The sequence below is a fragment of the Homo sapiens genome, chromosome X (genome assembly GCF_000001405.40).
Source record: "Homo sapiens chromosome X, GRCh38.p14 Primary Assembly".
Classification (NCBI taxonomy): domain Eukaryota; kingdom Metazoa; phylum Chordata; class Mammalia; order Primates; family Hominidae; genus Homo; species Homo sapiens.
Window position 1 is genome coordinate 19,414,233 of NC_000023.11, and position 19,716 is coordinate 19,433,948.

General features: G+C 42.4%; 1 protein-coding gene across 7 annotated transcripts in view; it reads right to left on the minus strand.

Moving 5' to 3' along the window:
- Window positions 1-19,716, minus strand: part of MAP3K15 (mitogen-activated protein kinase kinase kinase 15) — a 155,450-nt gene that overhangs the window by 54,174 nt on the left and 81,560 nt on the right. For 5 of the 7 annotated variants that reach the window (XR_007068188.1, NM_001001671.4, XM_011545508.4 and 2 more), the window contains 4 exons: window positions 17,206-17,376; window positions 11,999-12,111; window positions 11,299-11,458; window positions 875-1,025 (listed from right to left, as the gene is read on the minus strand). Coding sequence is in view for 5 of the 7 variants with exons in the window: in NM_001001671.4 (NP_001001671.3) it covers window positions 875-1,025; window positions 11,299-11,458; window positions 11,999-12,111; window positions 17,206-17,376 (595 nt within the window). In the remaining 2 variants the exon portion in view is untranslated. The other 2 variants (XM_011545510.3, XM_011545511.2) reach the window with 2 other exon arrangements.

Genomic DNA, 19,716 nt, shown 5'->3' on the forward strand with positions numbered 1-19,716 from the left:
AAAACAACATGTTTAAGATCACTAAACCTGGTTAGAGATTACGCGGTTGTCTGCTCCATTATTTTTTTGTACCTTTCAGTAGGTTTGAAATATTTCATAACTAAAAAAAGATTTTAAAATGTATTATTAACCGGCAACAAAATAATTATCATAATCATTTCAAACAATATTTTATTAGATGCTTAATGAAATTCTTGGAAATGGCATGTTCACAAATTCTCAACGCATAAATATGGAACACAATTATCTGAAGTTCAATTTCCAAGACATTCACATATTTCACTCATGACTCTAAGACGGTCATAACATTAAAACAAAAACTCAAGGAAAAGCTAAAAGCAATTTTGCCTTTTTGGTAACTTTTAAATATCAATTAGTGGCCTTAGAGGCAAACCAAAGCTTAACAGGAAACCACGCTGAATTCCAAGTTTCCACTCGTGGTGCTACATTGTTTTAGAGGAAAGTTTGTCCACTTTGGCACTAGTGACATTTTGGGCTGGATAATTCTTTATTGGAGGGGGCTGTCCTGTGCATTGTGGGATGTTCAACAGCATCCCTGGTCTCTATCCAGCAGATGCCAGTAGTGCCACCTTCTCCCCAAGTCATGACCACCAAAAATGTCTCCGGACATTACCAGATGTACCTTAGGGGGACAAAGTTGCTTCCAATTGAGAATGACTACTATAGAGGATATGGCCAATGATCTATGAGTGAGCTGATCTATCACTTACTGATTTCACATAAGATTGATGTTTATCCCAACATTTAAAATTACTCTACAGTTTTCTTCAGTTCAGAGTATTCAATAGTTAAATAGCACCAATCCCTAGTTTTTTTCCTAATCTTAAAAAAAAATGGATTTAGCATATCTTACTGGAAATCTGAGTCCATTAGTGACTTCATTTGTTGCCTCAAAAATTATATCTAACCAGAAGTTCAGCCGCTCTTGCCTGGGCGAGTGTTCAATAATGGTTTTCTTGAAGCGCCGAATTAGTAACAAGTTCTGAACTAATGATCGCAGGTACCTGGAAAAATCACAAACAGCAATATATTGGATTCCTAAAGAAACTGAATTCAATTCAAGTCCCTTTAAAAGAAGCTTTCCAAAAGCTTTTATTCACTTAAATTCATATTATGTCATGAGTGCTTCATAAACGACTGCTCAGCAGCCACAAAACTAATTAAGAAAACACGAGCAGTAGGCAAAGTAAGTCCATCCAACAAAATAACACAACGTGGCTTTTTACCAACATTGTGCTAACCCCAATTTTAGTACCTACTGCCTAAAATGTGGAGATTGGAAAGCATGTGGTAACTGTTTTAAATAACAAGGGCAGGCACAGCTGACTCTTGAACAACACAGGTATGAACTGCGCAGCTCCACTTATACATGGATTTTTTTTCCCAATAGATACATTGGAAAATGTTCTGGAGACGTGCGACAATTTGAAAAACTTTGCAGATAAACTGTGAAGCCTAGAAATATAAAAAAAAAAATTAGAAAAAGCTAGGTATGCCATGAACACATAAAATATATGTAGGTACTGGTCCATTTTATCATTTACTACCCAACATATATACAAATCTCTTACAAAAAGTTAAAATGTACCAAAACTTACACACACACTTACAGACTGTATATGGCACCATTCCCAGTCAAGAAAAATATAAACAAATGTAAAGATGTGGTATTATATCAAAACTGCATAAAATTAACTGTAGTGCATACTGCACTACTGTAAGAATTTCATAGCCACCTCCTGTTGCTATTGTGGTGAGCTCCTGTTGTAAGTATCTGCTTAAAACTCCACCATGTGGCCAGGTGCGGTGGCTCACACCTGTAATCCCAGCACTTTGGGAGGCCTAGGTGGGCAGATGACCTGAGGTCAGGAGTCCAAGACCAGCCTGGCCAACATGGTGAAATCCTGTCTCTACTAAAAATACAAAAATTAGCAGGATGCGGTGGCAGGCGTCTATAGTCCCAACTACTTGGGAGGCTGAGGCAGAAGGAATGCTTGAAGCTGAGAGACGGAGGTTGCAGTGAGCTGAGATTGTGCCACTGCACTCCAGCCTGGGCAACAGAGCGAGACTCTGTCTCAAAAACAAACAACCAAAAAAAAAAAACTTCCACCGTGTGAGACTGATCATTTTTGCATGAGAAGTTCGTCTCTCCAGTAAATTGCAGATCATAGTAAAAAGTGATCACTCACGGTTCTCGTGCATTCTTCATTGTATTTAGTGTGACACCATAAACAATGAATAACACCATGGGACCCATAGAGAGTGCCACTAGTGATACTGGAAATGCTCCCAAGAAGCCGAGAAAAGTCATGACATTACCAGAAAAAGTTGAATTGCTTGATATGTATTGCAGATTGAGTTCTGCAGTTACGGCTGCTGCCATTTCAAGATAAATGAAGCCAGCCTAAAAATCGTAGGAGAAACAGAAAAGGAAATTCATGAAGCCGTCACTGCAGTTGTCAGTGGTTGCGAAAATCCTGCACTTTTTGCAAAATATAAAATACAAAATATTGTTTATGTTATTGGTAAGGCTTCCAGTCAACAGTAGGCTATTCGTAGTTAAGTTTTTGGTGAATTTTCAACTGAGCCCCTAACTCCCACATTGTTCAAGGGTCAGCTGTAGTTCAAAGTTCAAAGCAATTACAAAATGACAAAATTTCAAACTCATTTTCTTTTTAATTAAACATGTTATTTTGAGGTAATTTTAGATTTACATGAAGTGCTAAGAACCAATACAGAGAGAACCCATATATCTTTGACCAGGTTTACTCCAATGGTAGCATCTTACAAAACTATAGTACAGTTTTTGGTAGAGCCAAGATGGCTGAATACGAACAACTCCAGTCGACAGCCCCCAGCATGAGCGATGCAGAAGACGGGTGATTTCTGCATTTCCAACTGAGGTACCAGGTACATCTCACTGGGGAGTGTTGGAAAGTGGGTGCAGGACAGGGGGTGCAGCGCACCAAGCGTGAGCTAAAGCAGGGCGAGGCACTGCCTCACCCGGGAAGCACAAGGGGTCAGGGAATTCCCTTTCCTAGTCAAAGCAAGGGGTGACAGACGGCACCTGGAAAATCGGGTCGCTCCCACCCTAATACTGCGCTTTTCCAATGGTCTTAGCAAATGGCACACCAGGAGATTATATCCCGCGCCTGGCTCAGAGGGTCCTACGCCCAGAGCCTCACTCATTGCTAGCACAGCAGTCTGAGATCAAACTGCAAGGCGGCAGTGAGGCTGGGGGAGGGGCGCCCACCACTGCCGAGGCTTGAGTAGGTAAACAAAGCCTCCGGGAAGCTCGAACTGGGTGGAGCCCACCTCAGCTCAAGGAGGCCTGCCTGCCTCTCTAGACTCCACCTCTGGGGGCAGGGCACAGCCAGACAAAAGGCATCAGAATCCTCTGCAGACTTAAATGTCCCGGTCTGACAGCTTTGAAGAGAGTAGTGGTTCTCCCAGCACGCAGCTCGAGATCTGAGAATGGACAGACTGCCTCCTCAAGTGGGTCCCTGACCCCCAAGTAGCCTAACTGGGAGGCACCCCCCAGTAGGGGCAGACTGACACCTCACACGGCTGGGTACTCCTCTGAGACAAAACTTCCAGAGGAATGATCAGGCAACAACATCTGCTGTTCACCAATATCCGCTGTTCTGCAGCCTCTGCTGCTGATACCCAGGCAAACAGGGTCTGGAGTGGACCTCCAGCAAACTCCAACAGACCTGCAGCTGAGGGTCCTGAGTGTTAGAAGGAAAACTAACAAACAGAAAGGACATCCACACCAAAACCCCATCTGTACGTCACCTTCATCAAAGACCAAAGGTAGATAAAACCACAAAGATGGGGAAGAAACAGAGCAGAAAAACTGGAAACTCTAAAAATCAGAGCACCTCTCCTCCTCCAAAGGAACGCAGCTCCTCACCAGCAATGGAACAAAGCTGGACGGAGAATGACTTTGACGAGTTAAGAGAAGAAGACTTCAGACAATCAAACTACTCCGAGCTAAAGGAGGAAGTTCGAACCCATGGCAAAGAAGTTAAAAACCTTGAAAAAAAATTAGACAAACGGCTAACTAGAATAACCAATGCAGAGAAGTCCTTAAAGGACCTGATGGAGCTGAAAACCAAGGCACAAGAACTATGTGATGAATGCACAAGCCTCGGTAGCCGATTCGATCAACTGGAAGAAAGGGTATCAGTGATGGAAGATCAAATGAATGAAATGAAGTGAGAAGTTTAGAGAAAAAAAGAATAAAAATAAACGAACAAAGCCACCAAGAAATATGGGACTATGTGAAAAGACCAAATCTACATCTGATTGGTGTACCTGAAAGTGACAGAGAGAATGGAACCAAGCTGGAAAACACTCTGCAGGACAGTATCTAGGAGAACTTCCCCAAACTAGCAAGGCAGGCCAACATTCAAATTCAGGAAATACAGAGAACACCACAAAGATACTCCTCGAGAAGAGCAACTCCAAGACACATAATTGTCAGATTCACCAAAGTTGAAATGAAGGAAAAAATGTTAAGGGAAGCCAGAGAGAGAGGTCAGGTTACCCACAAAGGGAAGCCCATCAGACTAACAGCTGATCTCTCTGCAGAAACTCTACAAGCCAGAAGAGAGTGGGGGCCAATATTCAACATTCTTAAAGAAAAGAATTTTCAACCCAGAATTTCATATCCAGCCAAACTAAGCTTCATAAGTGAAGGAGAAATAAAATCCTTTACAGACAAGCAAATGCTGAGACATTTTCTCACCACCAGGCCTGCCCTAAAAGAGCTCCTGAAGGAAGCACTAAACATGGAAAGGAACAACCAGTACCAGCCACTGCAAAAACATGCCAAATTGTAAAGACCATCAAGGCTAGGAAGAAACTGCATCAACTAATGAGCAAAATAACCAGCTAACATCATAATGACAGAATCAAATTCACACATAACAATTTTAACCTTAAATATAAATGGGCTAAATGCCCCAATTAAAAGACACAGACTGGCAAATTGGATAAAGAGTCAAGACCCATCAGTGTGCTGTATTCAGGAAACCCATCTCACGTGCAGAGACACACATAGGCTCAAAATAAACGGATGGAGGAAGATCTACCAAGCAAATGGAAAACAAAAAAAGGCAGGGGTTGCAATCCTAGTCTCTGATAAAACAGACTTTAAACCAACAAAGATCAAAAGAGACAAAGAAGGCCATTACATAATGGTAAAGGGATCAATTCAACAAGAAGAGCTAACTATCCTAAATATATATGCACCCAATACAGGAACACCCACATTCATAAAGCAAGTCCTTAGAGACCTACAAAGAGACTTAGACTCCCACACAATAATAATGGGAGACTTTAACACCCCACTGTCAACATTAGACAGATCCACGAGACAGAAAGTTAACAAGGATATCCAGGAATTGAACTCAGCTCTGCACCAAGCAGACCTAATAGACATCTACAGAACTCTCCACCCCAAATCAACAGAATATACATTCTTCTCAGCACCACACTGCACTTATTTCAAAATTGACCACATAGTTGGAAGTAAAGCACTCCTTAGCAAATGTGAAAGAACAGAAATTATAACAAACTCTCTCTCAGACCACAGTGCAATCAAACTAGTACTCATGATTAAGAAACTCACTCAAAACCGCTCAACTACATGGAAACTGAACAACCTACTCCTGAATGACTACTGGGTACATAACGAAATGAAGGCAGAAATAAAGATGTTCTTTGAAACCAATGAGAAAAAAGACACAACATACCAGAATCTCTGGGACACATTCAAAGTAGTGTGTAGAGGGAAATTTATAGCACTAAATGCCCACAAGAGAAAGCAGGAAGATCCAAAATTGACACCCTAACATCACAATTACAAGAACTAGAGAAGCAAGAGCAAACACATTCAAAAGCTAGCAGAAGGCAAGAAATAACTAAGATCAGAGCAGAACTGAAGGAAATAGAGACACAAAAAACCCTTCAAAAAAATCAATGAATCCAGGAGCTGGTTTTTTGAAAAGATCAACAAAATTGATAGACTGCTAGCAAGACTAATAAAGAAAAGAGAGAAGAATCAAACAGATGCAATAAAAAATGATAAAGGGGATATCACCACTGATCCCACAGAAATACAAACTACCATCAGAGAATACTACAAACACCTCTACGCAAATAAACTAGAAAATCTAGAAGAAATGGATAAATTCCTCGACACATACACCCTCCCAAGACTAAACCAGGAAGAAGTTGAATCTCTGAATAGACCAATAACAGGCTCTGAAATTGAGGCAATAATAGCTTACCAACCAAAAAAAGTCCAGGACCAGATGAATTCACAGCCGAATTCTACCAGAGGTACAATGAGGAGCTGGTACCATTCCTTCTGAAACTATTCCAATCAATAGAAAAAGAGGGAATCCTCCCTAACTCATTTTATGAGGCCAGCATCATCCTGATACCAAAGCCTGGCAGAGACACAACCAAAAAAGAGAATTTTAGACCAATATCCTTGATGAACATCAATGCAAAAATCCTCAATAAAGTACTGGCAAACGGAATCCAGCAGCATATCAAAAGCTTATCCACCATGATCAAGTGGGCTTCATCCCTGGGATGCAAGGCTGGTTCAACACATGCAAATCAATAAATGTAATCCAGCATATAAACAGAACCAAAGAGAAAAACCACATGATTATCTCAATAGATGCAGAAAAGGCCTTTGACAAAATTCAACAACGCTTCATGCTAAAAACTCTCAATACATTAGGTATTGATGGGACGTATCTCAAAATAATAAGAGGTATCTATGACAAACCCACAGCCAATATCATACTGAATGGGCAAAAACTGGAAGCATTCCCTTTGAAAACTGGCACAAGACAGGGATGCCCTCTCTCACCGCTCCTATTCAACATAGTGTTGGAAGTTCTGGCCAGGGTAATCAGGCAGGAGAAGGAAATAAAGGGTATTCAATTAGGAAAAGAGGAAGTCAAATTGTCCCTGTTTGCAGATGACATGATTGGATATCTAGAAAACCCCATCGTCTCGCCCAAAATCTCAAGCTGATAAGCAACTTCAGCAAAGTCTCAGGATACAAAATCAATGTGCAAAAATCACAAGCATTCTTATACACCACTAACAGACAAACAGAGAGCCAAATCATGAGTGAACTCCCATTCACAATTGCTTCAAAGAGAATAAAATACCTAGGAATCCAACTTACAAGGGATGTGAAGGACCTCTTCAAGGAGAACTACAAACCACTGCTCAACGAAATAAAAGAGGATACAAGGAAACGGAAGAACTTTCCATGCTCCTGGGTAGGAAGAATCAATATCGTGAAAATGGCCATACTGCCCAAGGTAATTTATAGATTCAATGCCATCCCCATCAAGCTACCAATGACTTTCTTCATGGAATTGGAAAAAACTACTTTAAAGTTCATATGGAACCAAAAAAGAGCCTGCATTGCCAAGACAATCCTAAGCCAAAAGAACAAAGCTGGAGGCATCACACTACCTGACTTCAAACTATACTACAAGGCTACGGTAACCAAAACAGCATGCTACTGGTACCAAAACAGAGATATAGACCAATGGAACAGAACAGAGCCCTCAGAAATAATGCCGCATAGCTACAACTATCTGATCTGTGACAAACCTGACAAAAACAAGCAATGGGGAAAGGAGTCCCTATTTAATAAATGGTGCTGGGAAAACTGGCTAGCCATATGGAGAAAGCTGAAACTGGATCCCTTCCTTACACCTTATGCAAAAATTAATTCAAGATGGATTAAAGACTTACATGTTAGACCTAAAACCATAAAAACCCTAGAAGAAAACCTAGGCAATACCATTCAGGACATAGGCATGGGCAAGGACTTCATGTCTAAAACACCAAAAGCAATGGCAACAAAAGCCAAAATTGACAAATGGGATCTAATTAAACTAAAGAGCTTCTGCACAGCAAAAGAAACTACCATCAGAGTGAACATGCAACCTACAGAATGGGAGAAAATTTTTGCAATCTACTCATCTGACAAATGGCTAATATCCAGAATCTACAATAAACTCCAACAAATTTACAAGAAAAAAACAAACAATCCCATCAAAAAGTGGGCAAAGAATATGAACAGACACTTCTCAAAAAAAGACATTTATGCAGCCAAAAGACACATGAAAAAATGATCATCACTGGCCATCAGAAAAATGCAAACCAAAACTACAATGAGATACCATCTCACACCAGTTAGAATGGCGATCATTAAAAAGTCAGGAAACAACAGGTGCTGGAGAGGATGTGGAGAAATAGGAACACTTTTACACTGTTGGTGGGACTGTAAACTAATTCAACCATTGTAGAAGTCAGTGTGGCAATTCCTCAGACATCTAGAACTAGTAATACCATTTGACCCAGCCATCCCATTACTGGGTATATACCCAAAGGATTATAAATCATGCTGCTATAAAGACTCATGCACAGGTATGTTTATAGTGGCACTATTCACAATAGCAAACACTTGGAACCAAGCCAAATGTCCAACAACGATAGACTGAATTAAGAAAATGTGGCACATATACACCATGGAATACTATACAGCCATAAAAAAGGACGAGTTCATGTCCTTTGTAGGGACATGGATGAAGCTGGAAACCATCATTCTCAGCAAACTATCACAAGGACAAAAAACCAAACACCACATGTTCTCACTCATAGGTGGGAATTGAACAATGAGAACACATGGACACAGGAAGGGGAACACCACACACCGGGGCCTGTTATGGGGTGGGGGCGGGGGAGGGTTAGCATTAGGAGATATATCTAATGTTAAATGATGAGTTAATGGGTGCAGCACACCAACATGGCACATGTATAGATATGTAAGTAACCTGCACGTTGTGCACATGTACCCTAAAACTTAAAGTATAATAAGAAAAAAAGAAAAAAAAGAAAAAAAAAGAACTATAGTACTGTATCACAACCGGGATGTTGTCACTGATACAAGGCAAGTTAGAGAAATTTCCATCCCCACAGGGACCCCTTGTGTTGCCTTCCCACCATCACGCCTACCTCCCTCCCATCCCACCCCCTCCCTTACTTCTGGCAATCACTAGTCAAACTCACTGTCTTTTATTTTTTGAAATATTAGAATCTGACTAGGTAGATTTTGATGTTATGACATCTTGACTCTGACCACACCTTTGCTCTTTTCAGGCAAACTGAACTTTTTGGAATATAGTTGCCAGGCAGTGGTGGTCACAACCTCTTTGGTACTAAACGGAATGGTTCAACTGAAAGCATCATAGTATTATTTTGCTCTTTAAGGATAAAAGCTGGAGCTATCCTGGGAAGATAGGCCAGCTAGACTCCAACCGACTTGCTTGGGCACTCAGCAGGCCTGTGTTGTCCCAACTCCACACATTCAAAAGAAAGATCTGGCCCTGGACTGGCTATTGGGAGATCACCTCTAAGCCCTTGGGATATACTGCCAGCTAAGAGCATCTCTGTTTATCTGGGACCTTGGGCCATCCCAGATAGTCTATGCTAACGATATGATTCATCTTCGGGGCCCTGGGCCACACTGTATCAGTTCGACCTCTAGAGAGGTTGGAGCTGAGGTATTAATATCAGCTGCATGAAGACTCCATGCCCACATGACCCATCCCCAATAAAAACCCTGGACATTAAGGCTCAATGAGCTTTACTGGTTGGCAAGATTTCATGCATGTTGTCACACATTTTTGCTGGGAGAATTAAGCACTATTCACATGACTCCACTGGGAAAGGACAACTGGAAGCTTGCACGTGGTCTCTCCTGGACTCTACCCTATGTACCTTTCTGCCTTTGCTGATTTTAATCTGTATCCTTTCATTGTAATAAACCATAACTAAGAGTGTAACAGCTTTTCTGAGTTCTGTGAGTCCTTCCAGCAAATCATGTATATATACACACACACACACACATATATACACACATATATGTACACACATATATATACATATATATACACATATATATACACACATATATACACACATATATATACACATATATATACACACATATATATACATATATATATATATTTTTTTATGCTTTAAGTTCTAGGGTAAATGTGTGCAACATGCAGGTTTGTTACCACAATTCTAACGGAGCTTCATGTCTATGGGGAAATCCAATACTGTCCACCCCTCCTGGGCCTTTCCCTACAAGTCACATGCCAAACACATATTTTTAATTAAAACAAGATCATATAGAACAGTGGTTCTCAAAGTGTGGTCACCAGAGCAGCAGCAGCAGCTTGTAATTTGTAAGTGCAAATTCTCAGGCGTCCACCCCAGACCTACTGGGCCAGAAATTCTGAGAGTGGGCCCAGCAATCTGTGTTTTCTTTCTTTATTTTACCTATTTATTTTTGAGACAGGGTCTCACTCTGTCACCCAGGCTGGATTGCAGTTGTGCAATCACAGCTCGCTGCAGCCTTGACCTCCCAGGCTCAAGCGATCCTTCTACCTCTGCCTTCCCGAGTAGCTGGGACCACAGGCGTGCACCACCATGCCTGGCTATTTTTTTTTTTTTTTGTAGACACTGGGTCTCACTCTATTACCCAGTCTGGTCTCAAGCTACTGGGCTCAAGCAATCCTCCCACCTCGGCCTCCGAGAGTGCCAGGATTACAGGTATAAGTCACTACACCCAGTCTGTGTTTTAATCAACATAGGTTGATTCTGACACACAACAGAATTTGAGAACCACTGATACAGAAAAACTTACCCGGGGACTGGCTTTTCTTACTCTACAACAAACCACGAACACACTTCCACATCTCCAAACATTCTTTCCTGCACATTTAAATGGCCGTGTAAGGCTGTTGCTGTGCCACCGTTTTATTTACCATACCCTATTATTGTTCTTTTAGTTCCAGTTTTCATTTGTGATAAACATTTTCTTGGTGTGCTTTTTTCATTTTATTATATGCTTTCTCACAAATGCATAATACATACTAGTAGCCAAGAGTGTTTTTCTCTTGAGGACCTAGACAACCTGCAGAAATTAATAGAATAGAAGGCCTAATCTCAGGGGTGGAGCAGGCAGGGATATATTCTGTGTGGATCTGTCTTTCCCTCCCTTCACATAAAAGCAAGGGAATTCTCAGAGCAGTTGTGTCTGTGCTAACTTTGCTTTAATGAAAAGTCAGAAGGAGAAACATAGTGATTATAAGGAAGACATTTCAGAACAAGATCATGTATTGAGATGGGTGATGACAACACACAGACACAACTCACCAGACTGGAGGTTTCAGTTTGAACAACCTCTCTGCTGCCTGGACGGCTTTCCCGACATCATGGGCCAGCATGCTGACGCTGAAGAACTGACCCACATCCCAGTAATTGTTCATTTTCTCCAAGCTCCCTTTTCTTCCCAACAAACTGTTCAGCCGGACACCTTAAGAATTTGAATTTTTGATAGTCAGAATAATCTTTTTTAGTTTCTGTCATACTGAGGATAAGCAGGTATTTTATTTTGGCTGCTGTCTCAGGTGTGCTATAGGAAAAGTAACTGATTGTTCCTTTTGAAATATAATTCTAGTAGTACGGGCACGGTGGCTCACGCCTGTAATCCCAGCACTTTGGGAGGCTGAGGTAGGCGGATCACTTGAGGTCAAGAGTTCGAGACCAGCCTGTCCACCATGGTGAAACCCCATCTCTACTAAAAATACAAAAAAAATTAGCTGGGCGTGGTGGTGGGCACCTGTAATCCCAGCTACTCAGGAGGCTGAGGCAGGAGAATTGCTTGAACTCGGGAGGCGGAGGTTGCAGTGAGCCAAGATCACACCACTACACTCCAGCCTGGGCAACCGAGCAAGACTCTGTCTCAAAAAAAGAATAGAAATATAATGATATAATGCTAGTTATTTCAACATAACTTTTAATGCCAAACTTGTATAATCAAAGCAACAACATCTGCAATAATAAGCAGCTTTACCTATTTTCCTTAGTTCCAAGGAAGTTTCAAATTGTTGTCCAGCAACAATCAGCAAAACTGCAAGATTAATTCCCGAATAGAGGGATGACTGGAGTTCAAACCCTTTGCGATACCTATAATTACAGAACCACCAAAGTATTATTATATTACAACAAAAAATGTTTAAATAATGGTATAAACCAACTTTCTCATGAAAAGTTTTCTTTCTCTAAATTTGTTGTTGCCCATTCCCCTCGCCTCCCACCACCACCTTTACCAACAGCCACATGCAGCTCTCTAGTAACTTTAAAAATGTCTTAATAGGCCAGGCACCGTGGCTCATGCCTGTAATCCCAGCACTTTGGGAGGCCGAGGCACGTGGACCACTTGAGGCCAGGAGTTTAAGGCCAGCCTGGCCAAAACGGTGAAACCCCATCTCTGCAAAAAAACTACAAAAATTAGCTGGGTGTGGTGGTGTGTGCCTGTAATCCCAGCTACTCGGGAGGCTGAGGCAGGAGAATTAGCTTGAACCCGGGAGGTGGAACCTGCAGTGAGCCAAGATCGTGCCACTGCACTCCAGCCTGGGTGACAGAGCGAGAATCTGTCTCCAAAAAAAAAAAAAAAAAAAAAAAAAGTCATAATAGCAACACAGTAACTTACACTAGGGAGTTTTAATTTTTTTTTGCTCATAGGATTTTTATTATAAAAGCCTCAGGGACTATATAAAATAGGGAAATCATCATGAAGTACACAAAAGAAATTTAAAATCAATTCTAATCCTACTCCCAAAAGATCACCACGATTTGATGTCTGGAGTACAGTGGTGTAATCATAGTTCACTGCAGCCTGAAACTCCTGCATCTAAGCAATCCTTCCACCTCAGCCTCCCAAGCAGCTAGGACCACAGGTTTGTGCCATCATGCACACACCTATGCATTTTTTTTTTCATTTTTTAAAACACAGGGTCTCACTCTGTCACCCAGGCTGGAGTGCAATGGCACAATCATAGCTGCAGCCTTGAACCCCTGGGCTCAAGCGATCCTCCCACCTCAGCCTCCCAAGTAGCTGGGATTACAGACATGAGCCACCCTGCCCACCTAAACCTTGTTTCTAAAGTTGGATTCCAATTATGCATTGAGTATTTTTTATTACATCGAAATGGCATCAATGGTAGGCCATTTCTCTGCAAGCTGTTTGTTTGCTTTTAACAATATGGAGTTGTTTTTTCATGCAGGAAGCCGTATTGCCAAAATCCTGGATCCCAAATAACTATAGGAGCAGTGGCAAAGTGAGGCCAGGGACAGGGATCTACTATATCAGGATAAGCAACAGGATACAAAATTGGGAATCCTATTTTTACACCAAAGGTTAACAGTGACATTTTCACTCTCATCTTTTTCTATACATGAAAAGTTCATTTCTGTTCTATGAACGAGTATGAAAATTATAGGCAGGAAAAAAAGAACTCAATGAAGTAATGACACAAATGTCTTTAAGTGGCACCATTTATACCAAAGACTTGCTAGTAGTAATTTTGTCACTTATGTGATGGCAAGAGAATTCAACAACAAAATATTAATTCTTGAAAGGAGAAGTTATCATTGAAGTCAGTTAAAATATGGCATTATCAATTCTGAGGCATAATACAAATACCCTCAGATCAGAGGACACCGAGAAAGTCCTTCCTACCTTAGTCAACAAAATTCAACCCTTTTTTTCCTGTGTGTTTTGGGAATTTTAAATTCTACATCCTTCTAGATGTGACTGTTTTATTTTCTTCTACTATGAAAAGTCATACTGAGAAGAGGGCAGAAAGGGTTGCTCCTCCAGAAGTCAAGCAGGCCCAACTTAGGGGCAGAGAAGATCTGAACTCCAGGCAGGACCATAGTTCCAGATTCACCACTAACCAGCCCTGTGGTCTTGGACCAGCTCCCTACCTCCCTGAGCCATATGCTCCGTGTCTGCACTGGAGAGTGTGGGTTAGATGATATCCAAGATAGATCTTATCCACAGCCACCACGCCCTGAGCAGAAGACGAAGCTTCATTTGCTTCTGCACCTACCGCCACCACCTTCTGAAGCCGCTGGAGAAAAACTCCTAGGACTTTCTTGAAGGAACCAAAGGCAGTGATTTTCTGACCTGGGGACTGAATTCCCCACCACCATAGTGGGAACACAGTTTTCTGTTTTGGCTTTACCAAACATTAACTTCCCTTCGATACCCTGAGTGACTCCTCTCCACCACATGGTGCATTAGGAACTACTGGAAATTTAAAAAAAGAAAATGAGGTCATTATGTTCCAAGGACTTACACTATGGTGGAAGGGAATAAGATCTACACATAATTAGTGACAATGTAAGCAAGAATATGGTATCTTAAAATCACACAAATTCAAGTCTGGAGGAACTCACAGAAGACATATAGGGCTATCTCACCTAGATACTTGAGATATGGCATAAAAATAAAGAGAAATGAGGCCGGGTGTGGTGGCTCACGCCTGTAATACCAGCACTTCGAGAGGCCGAGGTAGGTGGATTGCCTGAGGTCAGGAGTTTGAGACCAGTCTGGCCAACATGGTGAAACCCCATCTCTATTAAAAATACAAAAAAATTAGCCGGGCATGGTGGCATGTGCCTGTAATCCCAGCTATTCAGGAGGCTGAGGCAGGGGAATTGCTTGAACCAGGGAGGTGGAGGTTGCAGTGAGCCGAGATCACACCACTGCACTCCAGCCTGGGTGACAGAGTGAGACTCAGTCTCAAAAAAAGAAAAAAAAAGGGCAAGAGAAATGAAACAGCAGTGATTTGGAAAGGGAGCCCTCAGCATAGAAAACAGGAACAGAGACAGGAGTTTGGAAAACTCCTTAGGAACTACAGTTTAGTTGGACACACACCAGGTAGTGGGAAACAAGGCTAGAGGTAGGTTGGAGAAAGTGTTCAGGACACCTAGAATGGTGATCTGAGAGTCTGAATTTTTATATAGCAGGGAGCAGGGAGCCATGGTGGGTTCTTGAGCTTTAGGAAGAATAAGCTATAAATCTGTGAAGGATAGACTGAGCAGACAGCAAGCAGGGAGTCTACTTGGGTACTGTTAGAACATTCCTGGCAAGAAAGTTAAAAAGAAAATGGCAGTGACTGGGGGCAGTGGTGATGGGAAAGGACTGGCAAGCAGTGAAAGAAGGCTCGCAGAAGGGCTGCAAATGGGGCCTGACTGGACGGGGAGGTAAGTGAGCAAAATGAATCCAACACTGACTGAAAGTTTAGACCTAGGAGGGTAGAGAATAGTAGTAAGAAAGTAAGACATTGGAAGCCATACCTTGTGGAGAAGAGTAAATGACTTCAGCCTTCAAAATGTTGAGTCTGAAATATCAACATCATCTTGAGGTAGAACAGGTGGACAAAGGGGGGGAGGTGTAAGGCCATCACTTAGGATGTTGGGTTGGAGAGCTCCAGCTAAGGGTCCCTAGGTGTGAGAGTGGCTGGGATTGTCAGAGAAGTAAGTGTGGATGGAGAGAAGGTGGGGAGGACAGAGCCTCCTGTGTGTATGAAAGGAAGAGAGAGAGAGAGAGAGAGAGAGAGAGAGAGAGAGAGAGAGAGAGAGAGAGAGAGAGAGAGGAAGCAGTTAGAATTGAATGAAAGCAGAACAGCAATGTCAAGAGCTCTTATGATGGAAATGAATGATGTGGGCCTGTTGGTTCCACCTTCGGAATATATCCTGCATCCAACTTTCTCAACATTTTTGTCCCCACCACCCTGGCTCAAGCCACCACCAGCTCTCCCCTGAATTACTGCTATATTCTCCTGTTCCCTGCTTCTGTCCTTGTCCCTGTGATAGACTGTTTAATGGCCACAAATTCCTCCCATCGCAATATGCATGCACCTTTGCAATGCAACTTTGCTATTCCTCCTAGCCAGAGGTGGAGCACATTCCTCCACCCTTTTGAATGTGGGCGGACCTTGTGATTTGCTTTGACCAATAGCATGTGGCAGAAGTAACCACGTGTGAGTTCCCGAACCTAAGCCTCTAGAGGCTTTGCTGCTCCCTTGTTCACTCTCTTAGAGTTCTGCATACCAGGTAAGAAAGCTGGTCTACCAGGATTAGAACCACATGGTGGAGAGCTAAGGTACAGTATCAGTAGCCAACACCAGCTGCCAAATGTGTACGGGGTCATTTGGATCTTCCAGCCACACCTGACCCTACAGCTGACTTCAGTTTTAGAAGCCAGCCCAGGTGAAGCCAGCAGAAGAAGTGCCTGGCAAAGCCACAGAATCATGAAAAATCATAATCATTGCTGTTCGAAGCTGCTAAGTTTTGGGGTTGTTACGCAGCAAGTGATAGCTGATACACTCCCTAAAATATATTCTTTGCATAACAGTGAGTACTCTTGTTAAAATGCATGTCCAATCTTGTCACTCCTCTGCTCAAACCCTCCATTTGATGTTCCTTCTCACTCAGAGCAAGAAGGTCTTACCCTCTTCCTGTTTCATGTTGCTCTCCACTCACCCCTTGCTTAGTGCTGACCATCCTGGAGTGTGCCTGCCATGCTTCATCCTCAGAGTCTCTGCCCTTGCTGTTTCCTCCACCAAGAACACTTTCTCCAGTTATCTGTGAAGTTCACTCCCTTATCACTTTTCTATCTTTAGGCACCTTCACTGACTACCCTATTTAAAATTGCAGACCACCCCTCCGAGCCCTCCTTTATCCCCTTCCCTGCTTAACCTTTCCCCATAGCCCTCAGATGACATCCTAATGTGTCACTTTCTTTAACTTCCCTCACCAGCAATGCAAGGCCCCCAAGGGCAGGATTCACGTCCGTTGTGTCTGTATCCCCACCACCTAGAAAAGTTTCTGGCACACAGTAAGCCATCACTGAACATTGTTAAATAAATGAATGAATAAGTGAATGAATGAACAGATCACTGGGAAGATGATGCCCTGGTGGTGGTGGACAAGGCTCTGGAAGTGGGAGCTCGGAAGGAGTGTGCTGGGCCTCCTTCTTGGCCCATAAACAAGTGTACCTGTGGGAAGAGTGTGACCAGTAGAAAACCCTGTTTCTCATGGTTTTCTCTCAAAAAGGGAATCTGAAAATTCCCAGACCACATTTACTACAAATGTTTGCTCCCTGCCAACAGACAGACATATACATAAGGAAGAGATGCACATCCTTAGCCTATGCGATTCTGTTCCTTGAAGAGATGCAAGTGCTCATAACTCGGGCTGAGGGTTTACCACTCAATGGCGCTGTCGCGGCTGGTGTCATCTTTGCAGTCTGAATCCAAGAAGATGTCCTTGTAGATCCTCCCACACAGGCAGAACATGTCGGGGCCCGGGTGATCACAGCTCTGCAGAACCTGGAGCATGATCTGCAGAGCCTTCTCACGGTCACCTGTGCTGTTTCTCCTGAAAGATAGATGTTATAAGGTCACAAATGAATCAATCAAGACAATGGAGTAGAGGCCAGGTGCAGTGGCTCCCACCTGTAATCCCAGCACTTTGGGAGGCCGAAGCGGGTAGATCATTTGAGGTCAGGAGTTCAACACCAGCCTGGCCAACATGGTGAAAACCTGTCTCTACTAAAAATACAAGTAGCCGGGTGGTAGTGGCCCACGCCTGTAATCCCAGCTACTTGGGAGTATGAGGCAGGAGAATCACTTGAAACTGGGAGGCAGAGGTTGCAGTGAACCAAGATCATGCCACTGTACTCCAGTCTGGGCGACAGAGTGAGACCCTGCTTTTTTTTTTTTTTTTTTTTTTAAAAAGACAGTGAAATACATATACGCATTCATCATGCTGAAAGACAGGTGCAAGGATGCTGTACTTTAACAGAAAAATTATTTCTAAATAATAGTTTTCATTTTCCAATGTAGCCACTGCTTAAGATCCACACCAGTAAACCTTATACAATTACACTCAGTCCCTACTTGATTCTATCTCAACAAGTAAATCATAAGGAAATGAAAAAATAAGTGAAGAGGAAACCTATATAATAAAAAAGACTTAAGAGTCATATCAACTAAATGCAACATACATAGTCTGGACTGTGATTCAAACAAATCCACTATAAAACATATGAGGCTGGGTACAGTGGCTCACACCTGTAATCCCAGCACTTTGGGAGGCCAAGGCGGGTGGATCACTTAAGGTCAGGAATTCGAGACCAGCCTGGCTAACATGGTGAAACCCTGCCTCTACAAAAATTAGCCAGGTGTGGTGGCAGGCACCTGTAGTCCCAGCTACTTGGGAGGCTGAGGCAGGAGAATCACTTGAACCCAGGAGGCAGAGGTGGCAGTGAGCCGAGATTGTGCCACTGCACTCCAGCCTGGGTGACAGAGTGAGACTCTGTCTCAACAAAAAAAAAAAAAAGAAAGAAAAGAAAAGGAAAGACAATTGGGAAAATTTGAGCACTGACAGAAAAACTGTTAATTTTTAGGTATGATAATATAAAACCTAAAAACTGTTCATTTTTAGGTATGATAATGTAATCATGACTATGTTTTGTAAGTGCCCTTAACCTTTTTTTTTTTTTTGAGACAGTCTCGCTTTGTCGCCCAGGCTGGAGTGCAGTGGCATGATCTCAACTCATTGCAACCTCCACCTCCTGAGTTCAAGCAATTCTTGTGCCTCAGCCTTCCAACGTAGCTGGGATTACAGGCATGCACCACCACGCCCAACTAATTTTTGTAATGTTAATAGAGGTTTCACCATGTTGGCCAGGCTAGTCTTGAACTCCTGACTTCAGGTGATCCACCCGCCTTGGCCTCCCAAAGTTCTGGGATTACAGGCGTGAGACACCGTGCCCAGCCAAGTGTCCTTAGCTTTTAAAGATACACACTTAAATATCTGGGGATAAAATGGTATGTCTTTGCTTTGTAATAAATCCAGCATTGGGGTATAAAAGAGTGGGTGGGGGCAAAGGGGAACAAAATTGGCCATGCAATGATAATTATCAAAGTGGATATGGGGTAGATGGGGGTTTATTATTGTGATGGTTAATTTTATGTGTCAGCTTGACTGGGCTAAGGAAGACCAGAAAGCTAGTAAAACGTTATTTCTGGGTATGTCTATGAGGGTGTTTCTGGATAAGATTAGCATCTGAATCAAGAGTCTGAGTAAAGAAGACCACCCTCACCAATGCAGGTGGCATCACGCAATCCATTGAGGGTACCAAGAGAACAAAAAGGCCAAGGAAGAGTGAATTTTCTTTTTTTGAACTGGGAAATTCATCATCTCCTGCCCTTAGACATCAGAGTTCCTGGATCTTGGACCTTCTGGCTTCAGGACTTACCCCAACAGCATCCCTGGTTCTCAGGCCTTTGGACTCAGACCAAATCACACCACAAGCATTCCTGGTTCTCCAGCTTGCATGGGACTTGCCAGCCTCTAGAATCACCTGAGGCAATTCTCATAATCCATCTCTTCCTCTAGATCTCTATACATCCTATTGGTTTGTTCCTCTGGAGAACCCTGCCTAAGATAATTACACTATTCCCTACTTTTAAATATATTTGTGATTTTACATGATAAAAACAAAAACAAAAACAAAACAGGTACCCATCCTGACCCAACGATTCCACTTCTAGAATCTGTAATATGTACATCTTTTTTCAAGAATTTTTTGAACAAAGATGTTTGTTATGGCACTGCTTGTAATAGTAATGAACTGGAGATGACTCAGATGTCCATTAACGGAAGAACAGCAAAATATATTTTGCAACAACCAGACTACAGAATAACGTAATC